General features: G+C 35.4%; 1 protein-coding gene and 1 long non-coding RNA gene across 7 annotated transcripts in view; one reads left to right on the top strand and one right to left on the bottom strand.

Annotated features, from left to right (window-relative positions):
- DPYD (dihydropyrimidine dehydrogenase) overlaps window positions 1-14,840 on the top strand; it is an 843,317-nt gene that overhangs the window by 726,567 nt on the left and 101,910 nt on the right. For 5 of the 6 annotated variants that reach the window (XM_047448077.1, XM_017000507.2, XM_005270562.3 and 2 more), the window contains one exon: window positions 1,245-1,424. In XM_047448077.1, the coding sequence (XP_047304033.1) occupies window positions 1,245-1,424 (180 nt within the window). Of the gene's footprint in view, window positions 1-1,244; window positions 1,425-1,517; window positions 1,856-14,840 lie in introns of those variants that run through there. The other variant, XM_006710397.4, reaches the window with a different exon arrangement.
- The window catches only part of DPYD-AS1 (DPYD antisense RNA 1), a 227,033-nt gene that overhangs the window by 128,463 nt on the left and 83,730 nt on the right, over window positions 1-14,840 (bottom strand). The window lies entirely within an intron of this gene.

The raw sequence follows: 14,840 nt of genomic DNA, 5'->3' as shown, positions 1-14,840 counted from the left end.
ACCTGAGACTGGGTAATTTATAAAGGAAAGAGGTTTGATTGACTCACAGTTCAACATTTCTGGGGGAGGCCTCGGGAAACTTACAATCATGGCAGAAGGGGAAGCAGGCATATCCTTCATCACATGGTGGTAGGAAGGAGAAGTGCAAAGGAAAAGGGGAAAAGCCCCTTATAAAACCATCAGATTGTGTGAGAGCTCACTCATCATCACGAGAACAGCATGGAGATAACCATCCCCATGATTCAGTTACCCCCACCAGGTCCCTCCTACTGCACGTGGGGATTATGGGAACTACAATTCAAGATGAGATTTGTGTGGGGACACAGCCAAACCATATCATCATTATTCATTCATCTTATATTTGTGGAGAGCAGACTAACAGACAAACAGTGTCCTAGTCACTGCAGATAATATAGTGACCAAAATAAATGCAGTTCTTCCCTTCTGAAACTTTGGTCTAATTGGGAAGTGAGTTGTCAACTAAATAATAATGCAATAATTAGAAGTTAAAAATGTCTGATTAAAAGAAGGCCATAACCTATTCTGGGCTCCTGGAAGCCTCCTTGAAGAAGGGACATTTACCATGAGCCTGAGGAATGGTTGGTAGTTAGCCATGTGTGGAAAAGAAAGGCCTTCTAGCCAGTGAGAAGGTCTTGTGAAAAGATCCTAAGGCAAAGAAAGACTATGGCATTTTTTTTGAGGAAGAAAGGAAAGACCTGGGTAACTGGATCATAGTTGACAACAAGGAGAACAATAGCAGATGAGGAGGGAGACAGAGGCAGGGGTAAGTGATGGTTGAGTTAACGTAATAAACAGCACTCCAACCTCAGTTTGACCACTTTCAGACGTGAGAACTGCCTGCAGGCAGCACATCCCAATAGAGTGACAATGAGAATTTAAATGTCCTTTATTATGTTGTGCCAAATTCGACTCCTTAAGCCTGACATATAATAAACTGTAGCTATTTAAACTATACAACTTAATAAGTTTTGGAACATGTATATACCTGTGACACCATTACCATTGCAAGTTTATGAAAAATGTTCATTGTCCCTGGAAATTTCCTTGTGTTCTTTGCAGTCCATTCCTCCCCACCACCCCCATCTCCAGACGGCTACTGATCCATCATGCCTCAAACAGTGCCTGGCACATAAAATAAATATTTGTTGACTCAAAGAAAAGTGAATTTGTTTGGAGAATTATCTCTTGGTTTGACACTTGGTTGACTGCTCTGTCTTTTCTAGGTATGCAGTGCCATTCAGAATCAGGATTTCACTGTGATCGAAGACTACTGCACTGGCCTCAAAGCCCTGCTTTATCTGAAAAGCATTGAAGAACTACAAGACTGGGATGGACAGAGTCCAGCTACTGTGAGTCACCAGAAAGGGAAACCAGTTCCACGTATAGCTGAACTCATGGACAAGGTATGTGCTTAAATCTCCTGTGTTATTCTTGAGAACTCAGCCTTGGTTTCTATTTCAGATCTTATTTACCATCTCACATTCTCACTAACAAAGGAAACACAGTGCCTCCTGGATGTGATTTCTTCAGTGGACTCTTTCTGAAGGAGACTTGATTACAGCCATATGATGGGTCTGTGAGTTACCTTTTTATAAACCAATACAACACAAGATTATATAAAAGGAAAAGACCGATGTTTGCAGTGTAAAGTGCCTCCAAATTCTTGCTTACTGTGGTGATGACTGGCATTCTTCCCAGTGGGAGTCTGGAGATTTCTTTATGCTTTCTGGAAATTATAACATTACCTTTCTATTTTCAAGACAATCAAATCACTGTAGTCTTGAATAATATAAGGAAGTTTTTAAAATTAAAATCTAATCAGTATCTTTTGTAACTGCTTCTGCTGTGTGGTTAAACCCGGTCTCAAACGGTTATGGTCCCAGCTTTCTCACTAACTGCTATTTTCCAAGAAATATACACTACATTTACGTTTTCTATAATACAGTGATTTTAGCAACACTGCTAAAACAACATTCAGCATTTTGCCTTTGTATTTCCTTTGTATTATTCTAAATAGATAACCATTGTCAGAAGACATTTCTTGAGCCCTCAATGAGGGGAGGAAAAAATTATAATTCTTAGTCTTTTCAGCTTGTCACTACATCAATAATTAACTTTAAAAAAAAGAGAGGCAGTATAAAAAGATTCTTTAAGGAAGCATTTAATAATTCAAATGAATCTTAACTTGAAGCAGGTCACATGAAAAAGAATGGAAAACAAAAGCCCTGGGTACTCTGCCTTGGATGACTGGGTTAGGGACTCAGAAAGAATAAGAGAAACATCATATAATTGACTTATATTTGGCTAGTTTTAGTAGAAAATATCACTGTCCCTCTCCTAATAGATAGCCAAAAAAAACCCTTCTTCAAGAGTAATGTGTATGGTTGCAAGTCCAGTAATGAAAAAAGAAAAGGAGGAAAGAAATAAAATCTTACAATGTGGGTTCCAGGAAAATGTCATGATGAATGACTCCATGAGTGGCAATCAAACAGAAAGACTGTGACATTAATATTTATAATATTGTAATTAGCAAGATAATGCCTAAGCAGCATTATTAGTGTAACTAATCATATTATCATAAACTGACTCTGCAGTATTTAGACAGTGAGTGTTCTTGCCTTTATCAATGACTATCAATATCCTAAGGTTGCTTATAACTAAAAAAAATTCACAAATGACTTTACAATCATTCGATGTAAATATCTCAAGGAAATTGTCTCTGACATGATAGTTTATGACCATCTATAAAATCATTGTCTCAAATTTGGGTGGTTGCCATGTGAGCGGAAATGGAAGTAGCTGCATTGCACTGTCATGTTTTGTCTTTAAAGGATTTTCACACTCGTTTCAAAACTTACATATTCAAATAAAAGATGGGTAATGATGAAGACAACTTGTGTCAATGACATAAATGGAAACTGATTTGGTAATAGTTTGAATCAAGATTCAGACTTTATTTTGTTAAGCTCAGCTTTCATCAAAATCGTAAGTGTAATTTTCAGCATTATCATTCGTTTAAAAAAAGGAAGATTTTTCTATGTGATTATATTAGTGATTCATTTCTCAACACTAACTTGAGGAATAAGCAGATGGTCTGGTAATAGATTTGTGCTTCTGGATTCTCCTGTGCAGGCTGACATGACTAAAACAATAGGTGATTATCCCTTTAGATTTATATCCCCAGTAGTGAATCAAAGTACTCTGGATCTAGGGTACAGGTGATTTCCTAATCGTTCTTTTTTTTGGTCCTATAATTTTTTTATTTTTCTTTTTATTATGTTTATATTTTTTATTATACTTTAAGTTCTAGGGTACATGTGCATCATTCTCAGCAAACTAATCATTCTTTCTTAATGTTGCTGCTGCTTTTGTGTGTGTGTGTGTTTGTATGTACGTGTGTATGTGTGTGTATGTGTGTGTGTGTCTTTGCATATAACTCACATTGTCCTATCATTAGCCAAAGAATAGTATGCTGGTCCTCACAGTGTCCGCATACTATAGGAAGATGAGAGAAAATGTAGACCCTTTGTAGAAAGACACTCTAGAAGTATCTGGCTTCTTTACACAGGAAAATTTTGTTTGGAAAGTACAATGGCTACTCTGATATTCACTCATAGGTCAGGCTAGAATAAACCAGAATAGATATTTAGAAGAAACCCATTACAGTGCAGTGTTTGACAATGGAGAGAAAATGAGACTTGGGCTATGGAAACAAGGATTTGGCCAAGTATGTCATGTTATCTTTCAAGTAATTAGCATATTAATATACTTTCCTTATGCTTACCTTACTTATTAACTGATCAAACTGCCTAACCAGCATTTCTTCAGGTGGCTGTTGAAGGGCAGGTAGTTGGGTGTTAGTACACTTACTGTGCAAGCCATTAAAATCTGTGCCTGCAAGAAGAGCAAATTCCTGAGAAGAACAGTCATCAGCTTTGGCACAACACAGAGCTGTTGATGTCAAACTCTTGGTGCTTAAAAACCATGCAGCATGCTTGTGAGAAATGTAGGTTCCCAGGCCCCACTAGCATTGATCCTGAGTCAGTGGGTAAGAGGTGTGTTGAGAATCTGCATTTTAACATCATAATTCTCATGGAGGGATCCAAAAATCTGCATTGCCAAAAGGGACAAAAAAGAGAATAGCAATAGAACAGTGAGAGATTGAGAAGTCAGCAATGAGCAGAACACAAGCTTCTCTTGATGGAGAAAGTAAACAATAAATAATTTTGAGCTGAAAAAGAAGTGAAATAAAAGAGGCAGGAGAGGAATGCCAGAGAAGCATCACATTAGGTTCCAAATGGCCAGAGGTTGGAAATACCCAATGAAGAAACTGCATGTAGGACAGCAGTTATTAGCAAATAGTAAGACTGCTGGATTTATGTGAAGCTTCCTTGTTAGCTAGACAACTTGGGCAAGTTACTTAATCTCTGTAAACCTTTTTATAAAACTGTACAATGAAAATAATTACAATACAGTTCCATAATCCCTCATTAACAATTCTGAAATCCAAAACATACTGAAACCAAATGGTTTTACATAATTCATTCAGCAGAAAACCTGGCCTGAACTGATGTGAGACTTGCTATAATCTTTATTCCTCTCAGAGAACATCAGATTAACGTGTTTGATTCCAGGTTGCTACCCCACACCTTGCTGGGGCTGGAGAGGGAGTGTTTATTAAAATTAGGTGTATGTACCATTTTACATTTCTAAAATCCAAAAGATATTTCTAAATCCATACATCTGGCTCCAAAGGTTTTAACTATGGGCTTGTGAAGATTACCAAAATGAAAATATAATTGCAAATATAACTTCATCCAGAAATTCATCTATAGAGTTGGAGGCAATGTATATATTTTAGTGATTTCAGAAAAGAAAACATTACTATTTGGCACTTTTAATTATGGGAAATAAGAGTTATGTTGACATTCTTCGTTAAGAAACATGAAAGAAATTGGACAGTCCGATATTTGAACAACAAATTTTGCAACTGGAAAAGCATGAAAGAAAATGTCTTCACTTTTTGGTGCTTGGGATGAGAACAGGACTCCTAAATACCAGTCATGAAAGAAAAACAGTAGAGGCCAAAAACTAATGATCACTTGGGATCTGCATGCATTTCCACATGCTGTTCCCGACATCTGGAATGGCCTTCCAGTTCTCAAGCATCACTTTTTGAGCTATTCCCTGACCTTTGCTATAGAATTAATGTCTCCTTCCTTTTTGAACCTTGGCTGTAACCAGTATCACATCGCAGTTGTATTTTTGTAAGTCTGCTTCCTTTACTAGAAAATAACCTCACTTTTCTTACCCATCTTTGTATCTAAGTTCTCTAGACATGCACTGAACATGGTAATGCCTTAATAAATGTTGACTGAAGAAGTGAACTGATGACTAAATGAATGTTGAAAGAAAAAAGCTTATTGGTAACATTAAGAATTAGTAATCACTTGACTTACCAAGCCATTACTTTTTCCATTACATCAGAAAAGAAAAGAATATGTAAAGAAATAACCTTTGAACTTAAAGTTCCTTTTTATGTGTGAATTGAGTTTGGTAAAAATAACATGGAAAAAGCCAGAATAGAAGGAGTGAGATAGACAGGTGAGCAACCTTTATGCCTTCTTGACTTGGCAAAATATGCCTAGATTATAAGCTTCTTGACGGCCTAGAACACAGACTGTGTGCCAGTGCCTAATGCAATGTCTACCATGTAGGAGTAATGGCATGGTAGCTGAATTGAACATACTGATCAATCATTAATATATTTTTAGAATCTATCTTAAATGTCACTTCTTTTGTGAGTCTGTCTATGACCCTCTTCCTTGGCCTCCAAGAAAGTCAAATCACTCCTTTTTATTTTATTACAGCCCATGGTTCCTACAACTAGTATTGCAAGTACTGCATTTTCTTTAATTGTATATCTTCTTGTCCAGTGCTGCAGGTCATTACAAGCATTTTGAAGGAAAGATAATATCTTATTCATACTGGAGTTTGCAAGCACCTAGCACAATGCTACATGTTTATAGAATTAAATTGCACGAATTATCTGTTGTGTCCTTATTTAGGAGGAAAAAAGAAAGTCAATGTATAATTAAAATTCCAGCTAGATCCTTTTAAGAACAGCAGCAGTCATTTTAGAAGAAAACAATAAACCTGCCAAATTACTGTACTTTCAGTAGGTTTCAAAAATGATGAAATACATATTGGTGATATTAATAAATGAACATAATCTGTGCTCATTAAAAGGCTCTCATTAGGATAAAATCAGAAATTCTGTCATGGTGGTTGTACAGCAACTCTGAAAACAAGGATTTGTTTTGATAATAGAAACCAAAATTGTATCCATATGACCAGATACATCATTCTCAGTTATTGATAAAACAATTCTAAAATTCATATGCAACCAAAAAAGAGTCCAAATAGCCAAAGCAAATTTGACAAAAAGTTCAAAGCTGGAGTCATCACATTACCTGACCTCAAATTATACAATTAGGCTGTGGTAATAAAAACAGCATGGTACTGGTACAAAAATAGACACATGGATCAATGGAACAGAATAAAGAACCCAGAAAGAAAGCCACATATCTACAGTCAACTGACCTTTGACAAAGTTGACAAAAAGTATACACTAGGACAAGGACACCTTTTTCAATAAATAGTGCTGGGATGATTGGATTGCCATATGCATAAAAATTGAATTATACTTCTACCTCTAACCATATTTAAAAATCCCCTCAAAACCCATCAAAGACTTAAATGTAAGATCTGAAACTATAAAAGTACTAGAAAAAAATCTAAGGAAAACTCTTCTGGACATGAGTCTAGGCAAAAATAATTATGACAAAGACCTCAAAAACAAATGCAACAAAACCAAAAATAGACAAATGGGACTTAAAATAAAAAGCTTCTGCACAGCAAATGAAATAATCGAGATAACAGAAGGCCTACAGAATAGGAGAAAATATATTCAAACTACGTATCCAACAGGGACTGTCACCCAGAATTTACAAAGAACTCAAACAACTCAACAACAACAACAAACAAGTAACCCCTATTAAAAAGTACGCAAAGGACGTGAACAGACATTTTTCAAAAGAAGACAAACCCCATCAAGCATATAAAAAACTGTTCAACATCACTAATCATCAGAGAAATGTAAATTAAAACCACAATGAGATATTATCTTATACCAGTCAGAATGGCTCTTACTAAAAAGTCAAAAAATAACAGATGTAGGTGAGGATGTGGGAAAAAAAAGGGAATGCTTATACATTTTTGGTGGGAATGTAAATAGTTCAAACCCTGTGGAAAAGAGTATAGAGATTTCTCAGAGAACTGAAAATAAAACTACCATTCACCTCAGCAATCCTACTATTGGGTTTATATCCAAAGGAAAAGACATCATTACATCAAAAAAATACATTCATATGTTTATGGCAGCACTATTCACGATAGCAAAGATATGGAATAAAGCTAAATGTACTTTGACAGATAATAAAGAAAATGTAGAATACTATTCAGCCATAAAAAAAGAATGAAATCATGTATTTTATAGCAACATCGATGGATCTGGAAGCCATTTTCTTTTTTATTTTTTTAATTTATTTTTATTTATTTATTTGAGACACAGTCTTGCTCTGTCACCCAGGCTGGAGTGCAGTGGCACGTTCTCGGCTCACTGCAACCCTGCCTCTCAGATTCAAGCGATTCTCATGGCTGAGCCTCCCCAGTAGCTGGGATTACAGGCGTCTGCCACCACGCCCAGCTAATTTTTGTATTTTTAGTAGAGACAGCGTTCCTCCATGTTGTCCAGGCTGTTCTCGAACTCCTCACCTCAAGTGATCCACCCACCTCAGCCTCCCAGAGTTCTGGGCTTACAAGCATGAGCCACTGTGCCCTCTGGAGGCCATTATTTTAAGTGAAACAACTCAGAAAAAGAAAGTCAAATACTGCATGTTCCCACTTGTGAGTGGAAGTTAATTAATGTGTACACATGCACATAGAGTGTGGAATAATAGTCATTGGAGTCTCAAAACGGTGGGAGGGTAGAAGCAGGGTGTAGGATGAGGAATTGGGTAGAAGCAGGATATGGGATGAGGAATTGCTTAACGGGTACAATGTACATTACTCGTGTGATGGTTACACTAAAAGCTCAAACTTCACCACTATGCAATATATCCATGTAACAAAACTGCACTTGTACCCCTTAATTTTATACTAATAAAAAAAACTGAAATAACACAATTTCATAAAACTATTGCTATTTGGTTGTGGTAATATTATATGTAGATGTCTAATTATCTATTTTTTTCCTTTCTGGAAAGTTATTCAACACAGAGAATAAAGCAGTGTCCAAAGAAATGTGTAAATGTCAACAGCAAGACCCTTACCAAAAGCATAATGACAGTTTCAAAAGAGGATACTATAATTTCCTATTTACAACTTTAAAAGTTTTGTATCTTCTATGCCACTTATTTTCCCTTATTGAAATATAAATTACTTGGAGGAAAAATACAGAGGTCTTAAATGAACCATTTGACAAGTTGTGACAAACACATATATCCGTGAAATCCTCACCTCTGCCAAAGCATGCAACATTGCCAACACCTTAGAAGCTGCCTTGTGCACTTTTCCAGCCATTACATCTTCCTTTACCACCACCAGAAGCAAACACCATCTAGCACCTGCCACCATAGATTAGTTTGTTCATGTTTTTTAGCATTCACATAAATGGAATTCTACAGAATATGTATTTTTGTATGTGTTGCAACTTTCACTCACTATAATATTACAGAGATTTTTTCATATTATTGTAGGTATTAGTTCATTTTTGTTGGTAAATAATACTATATTTTATTAAAATACCACAATTTATTTACTCTAAGTTGTATTTAGGCTGTTTTCACTTTTTTGGTGTTATAAATATTTTTGCTATAAACATACTTGCATAACTCCTTTTGTGAACATGTTTTCATTTCTCTTGGCTAGTACATAGAAGTATAATTTCTCAGTCATAAGGTGGATGCATAAGTTTTACAAGAAACTTCCAAACAGAGTTCCAAAGTGGCTTTACTCTTTCACAGTCCTACCAGCTGTGGGTGGGTGTTTGGTTCTTCTATGTTCCAGCCACCTTTTGATATTCTCAGTCTTTTTAGTTTCAGCTATTCTAGTACATATGTGTTGATATCTCATTGTGATTTTAATTTTCTTCTCCCTAATAAGAAGATGTTAACTCTTCTTTATGTTCTTATTGGCCTTCCATGTATCTTACTCTGTGAACTGTCTATTCAAATATTTTGTCCATTTTTTAATTTTTTAATTGATTTCTTGGAGTTCTTAATCATTCTAGTTATAAGTCCTTAGATCAGCAAAAGCATTTGACAAAATCCAACATCCAATCATAATAATGGCCTTCAGCAATTCATTAATAGAAGGAAACGTCTACAAAAATCCTATACCTAGTATCATACTTAATGTTGAAAGGATAAATTATTTTCTCTTAAGATCAAGAGCTGGGCAAGAATGTCCATTCTTTCTACTTCTATTCAATATTGTACTGGAAGTCCTAACCAGCGCAATAAGGTCATAAAAATAAATAAATGATATTTACATTGGAAAAAAATGGGCTTGCACTGTCTTTATTTGCAGATGGTAAGATTGTGTGCATAGAAAATCCTAAAGAACCTATAAATACACTATTAAAATAATAAGTGAATTTAACAAAGTTTCATAATACAAAAACAATGTACAATAATAGTTCTGTTTCTACATGAACAATTGGAACAATGAACTGGAAATTAAAATTTTAAAATGTCATTTACAATGGCATGTAAAAACTATAAAATACTTAGGAACAAATTAAAATATATGTAGTATCTGCACTGAAAGAATTGCTTTCACAGCGACGTGGATACATGCAGCCAACAAGCGTATGAAAAAAAGCTCAGTGTCACTGATCATTAGAGAAATGCAAATAAAAGCACACTAAAATACCATCTCTCACCAATCAGAATGGTTATTAATAAAAACTCAAAAAATAATAGATGCTGGTGAGGTTGCAGAGAAAACAGAATGCTTGTACACTGTCAATGGAAGTGCAAATTAGTTCAACCATTGTGGAAAGCAGTGTGTTGATTCCTCAAAGAGCAAAAAAAAGAACTGCTATTCTACCCAGCAATCCCATTGCCAAATATATACCCAAAGGAACATAAATCATTCTACCATGAAGACACATGAACACATATGTTTATTGCAGCACTATTCACAATAGCAAAGACATTAAATCAACCTAAATGGCCATCAGTGACAGATTGGATAAAGAAAATGTGGTACATATACACTATGGAATACTATGCAACCATAAAAAGGAACGAGATGTGTCTTTTATGGAAACATGGATGGAGCTGGAGGCCATTATTTTTAGCAAACTAATGCAGGAACAGAAAACTAAACACTCCATTTTGTCACTCATAAGTGGGAGCTAAATAATGAGAATACAAGGACACAAAATAGGGAACAACAAACACTGGGGCCTACTTGAGGATGGAAGGTGCAAGGAGGGAGAGGATCAGGAAAAAAATAACTACTGGGCACTATGCTTAATACCTGAGTGACAAAATAACCTGTATAATGAACCCCCATGACACGAGTTTACCTTTATTACAAACCTGCATATGTACCCTTGCATCTAAAATAAAAGTTAAGAAGAACTGCTGAAGAAAAATTAAAGAAGACTTAAAATAATGGTAAGATATATTAAGATGTTATTTCTCCCTGGATTGATCTGTATATACATCATAATCCCAATCAAACTCCCAACATGTGTTTTTTAGAAGTTGGCAAGCTATGCTAAAATTTACACTGGAATTCAGACAAACTAGAATAGCCAAAACAATCTTGAAAAAGGAGAACAAAGTGGGAAGTGGGAGAATTTGTACTATCTGCCTTCAAGATTTTCTATAAATCTGCAGTAATCAAGCAAGTGTGTTTGGGTGTCAGGGTAGACAAATAGATCAATGTAATGGATAGAAAGTCCAGAAATAGACCCACACATATACACTCAATTGATTTTTGACAGGGGTGCAAAAGCAATCCAATGGAGAAAAGAAAGCCCTTTCAACAAATAGTACTGGAATTATTGGATACCTATATTAAAAAATAAACCTCATGTCTACCTCACACAGGACAAAAAAGTAATTTTAAATATGTGATATAAAAAAGTAAACAGTAAGGTAAGACTATAAGACTTTCTTTTTAGAGTTTTAGATTCACAGCAAAATTGAACAGAAGGCATATACTCCTTGCCTTCAAACTGTACATTTTTAAAAGCAAACATTAAGTAAATATCTTTATAACCTTGGGGAAAGGAAAAATGTCTTGGACAGGATACCAAAAAAACACTAACCATACAAGAAAAAATAGATGAATTATGCTTCATCGCAATTAACATACTCATCAAAAGATACAATTAAGAAAATAAAAACTCAAGTCACAGATTGGGAGAAAATATTCCTATACTTGTATCTCATGAAGAACTTGTGCCCAGAATAAATGTATATAATATTTTCAAAATGTAAACTGTAATAATTAGAAAATTTAATTTTATTGATGAGTATATAGAATCTTAAAATGGAAAATCTATAATAAGGACCTGCTGGTAGGCTCTTGCAGCTTACTCCTGTCCATCTATGATAACATTTTTGGGGGACTTTTTTATACTGTAATGACCATTCTTGGAGCTAACCCAGAAAAGAGGAGAAGGGAAGGGAATGAAAGCCATTTTTCTTCAAGTTCATTGTATGGCCCTGTACTTCTTGTCCATGTTATCTTCTCCCATTACAGCTTTGTCCCCACAGTTATTCTCCCTGGGACTGCCAGACAGTTACATTATGTTGTTAGAAAAGTTCCAGATGATATTTGCATTTCTATCAGTCACTTGGGTAATGATTGATATAAAATATATTATTGAGGTCACTTTCTATGATTGTAGTCAGATCACATGAGGCTAAATATTTTTTATTGTTTTAGTTCATTTCATAGGGCATGAGGAAGGAAAATAAAAAACAAAACACCAGTCCCTGAAAGTTCAAAGGTTCAAAATTATCAGATCAGAATGTACTGCATAAATGTTATGAAGACTTAATCTACATCTGAATATCGTCAGATGGTTTGAGTGATATCTTAAGTAGAATGCTGGAGTGTCAAGTATCCTGTAAAAATAAGACAGACACCTGTTTTATAAATTGTGATTATTCCTCCTTAGAAGCAAAAAATGTTGGATAAAATTTGTTAGCCCCATCTTGTTCTGAGCTTCTGATCATCTCATCAGTGTGTGATGATCCCACAAATAAGTCAATGTGCTGTAGTCAAAAGCTTACCACAGAAGAGAGAGTGCTTGAAACCCAGAAGGTCTGAGTTTAAATCCAGGCATGATGCCTTACTACTGGGTGAGCTTGGAACAGCTACATGGATCCCACAATCCTCCATTTATGTAAAGGCAAACTGAGATGATGATAGCTATTTTGCAGTACTTTGTAAAGATTAGAAATCATATATGTACACAGAAGTCTTCTGTGATAAAAAAGAGAAATCCTCTATCTAAAGTGTATAGCATGTAGTTGTAAGCAATCAATACATGGTGGTTGTTATTATAACTATTCGTAACATGGAGAGGCATAGATAGATAGGCAATTTGGGATAATACTGAATATGTGATATATCCATTTCCAAAATATATGGGTAATATTGGGGTAGATAGAAACATTTGAGCAATACTTTATGAGTTGATTCCTTCTCTGCTTTGTGCAGATTTTTCAGATGGTACTTACAAATTGTTTTTAGAAGTTACCTTAACCTATTGACACCATGATTTTACTAGCTTAGTTTTGTTTGATCTGGTCAAAAGCTAGCATCTTTGTCTTTTGAAGCACCTCCTATCCCAAAAAGCTTCTAAATAATTGAGAAGTGTTCACTTTCCAGGTAAAATGGAGATAAATTAATTAACTTCAAGTTTGGGCAGTAAATTGTCATGAGTAGTCCATCATTCTTCCTAAAATAGGCAGAAGGGAGGTGTCTACTGCTGTTGCCAAAAGTTAACATCTGAATTTAACGTGAACCATTAGGGGAGGGGCTGATAAGAGTCCCTCAAGTTATGGGAAGAGGTAGTTTTGCATTGCTTGTAACCAGAGTAGTTTGTGAAGTCCTGTAAGCCTCCCCAACTTGGTTTCTCTCATCCCAGAGGTAAGTTGGTTCATTTTACAAGGCAACTCTAATCATTTGGTAGTACCTGCTGGGAGCCCTGTATAGAGGAAGCTCGTGATTCAAAGCCTAGCCCAGCAGAGGTGTGTGATCAATTGTCAGTGCCTGCATGGACATTGAGATATAGGATGAGATAGTACAGAACATGGATTTCCACTTCCATGTCTGAGTGTGGAGTACCAACAGGTCACCAATTCTAGGAATTTGGGCAGCAATGTGCTTTTTGAATCTGTAGCTGCTACAACTGCCTTATCACAATCCACCATTGCATGCCTGAAATAAAATGTAAACTATACTACATTTTCATTGTGTTGTCATTCTCCCATAAGTTCCTTTCTCTTGTCCATCGTGCTTATACAGATTATGATTCCCCATTTCTCCTTACTACATCAAATTGCCAAACACAAATGCAGTTACTTCTTTTGTCACATTCATGGGAGTGGTTAAGTATAATTCCTCATACTTCATCAAATATAACTAATCAGAATGCACCTTATTTAATTATATACTTAAAACTTGTATAATAATGCTTTTCATATTCAACACAAGTTGTCCAGATTAATTCTGATGTTGCTTTTAAACCATGAAAAAAAATGAGGATTGTTCTTGTTCTGGGTGGAGATTGAGGATTTAAAATGAAATCATTACTATATCCATGTAAGTTAAAACTTGAATTCAAATTCTAGCCTTGAATTCATGCCCTACCTTTCCTTCTATGATCTCTACACAATCAGTGGACATTTATAGCAAACCAGTTAGCTTTGTTCCCAATCCTCATTTTATGGAGTAAAGAAAATACCTCTCTGCAATTTTGAGCTATGCCCCTGATACTCTTCCTGAGAAAAACATGTATTTGTTATATCTCCCGTTAAGCCCATCTGCTCACTTGAATAAAGGGAATATTAGTTTGAAGATACAATTTTCTGGTAATTATAGGAGACAAAGGAGTCATTTTGATAATGTAAAGAGTCAACAGAAATTATAATTATATTGAGCTTTATGCCAATTTGTCCTCATCTAAGATTTCAGGGGAAAAAATTGAAATGTCTGCTGTTTGGAATAATAAAAGGGGGATTTAATTTACCAAAAAAAAAAGTCAAACAAAACAAACCATAATTAAATTTATTTTTAGCTTCAAGATGATATGGATATTGAACAGCGTTACCAAAACCCTGGGAGCTTAGGAAGGATAGGTGAGGATATCTTCAGTTGCCCTGAATAATTGGCAGTCTCACACTTAACCAAATCAGTTTAGACATTCAGATGAAATATCCATCTCCTTTCCTTTTCTTCTTAGAAACCTGGTTACTCTGTTTGGTTACCCATATTGATCTAGTTAACCACCTAATTATCAAATATCCACTCTATTTTATGCTGTATAATCTTAAAAAGCAATGTTATTGGTAGCTCAAATCCATGCCCTATAATAGTTCTGTGCTTCATAGTCACAGGTGACCCCTCGAAATGTGTCTGAGAAGATGTGACTACAATGCGCACAGAAAATGTGACTAATGCTGCACTGAGAAGCCTTTGATTTGCAGCTTCAGGCACTGTTTATG

This window comes from Homo sapiens, chromosome 1 (genome assembly GCF_000001405.40).
Source record: "Homo sapiens chromosome 1, GRCh38.p14 Primary Assembly".
Classification (NCBI taxonomy): domain Eukaryota; kingdom Metazoa; phylum Chordata; class Mammalia; order Primates; family Hominidae; genus Homo; species Homo sapiens.
The sequence above is the reverse complement of the archived record's forward strand: the minus strand, read 5'-3'. Positions and strand labels throughout refer to the sequence as shown.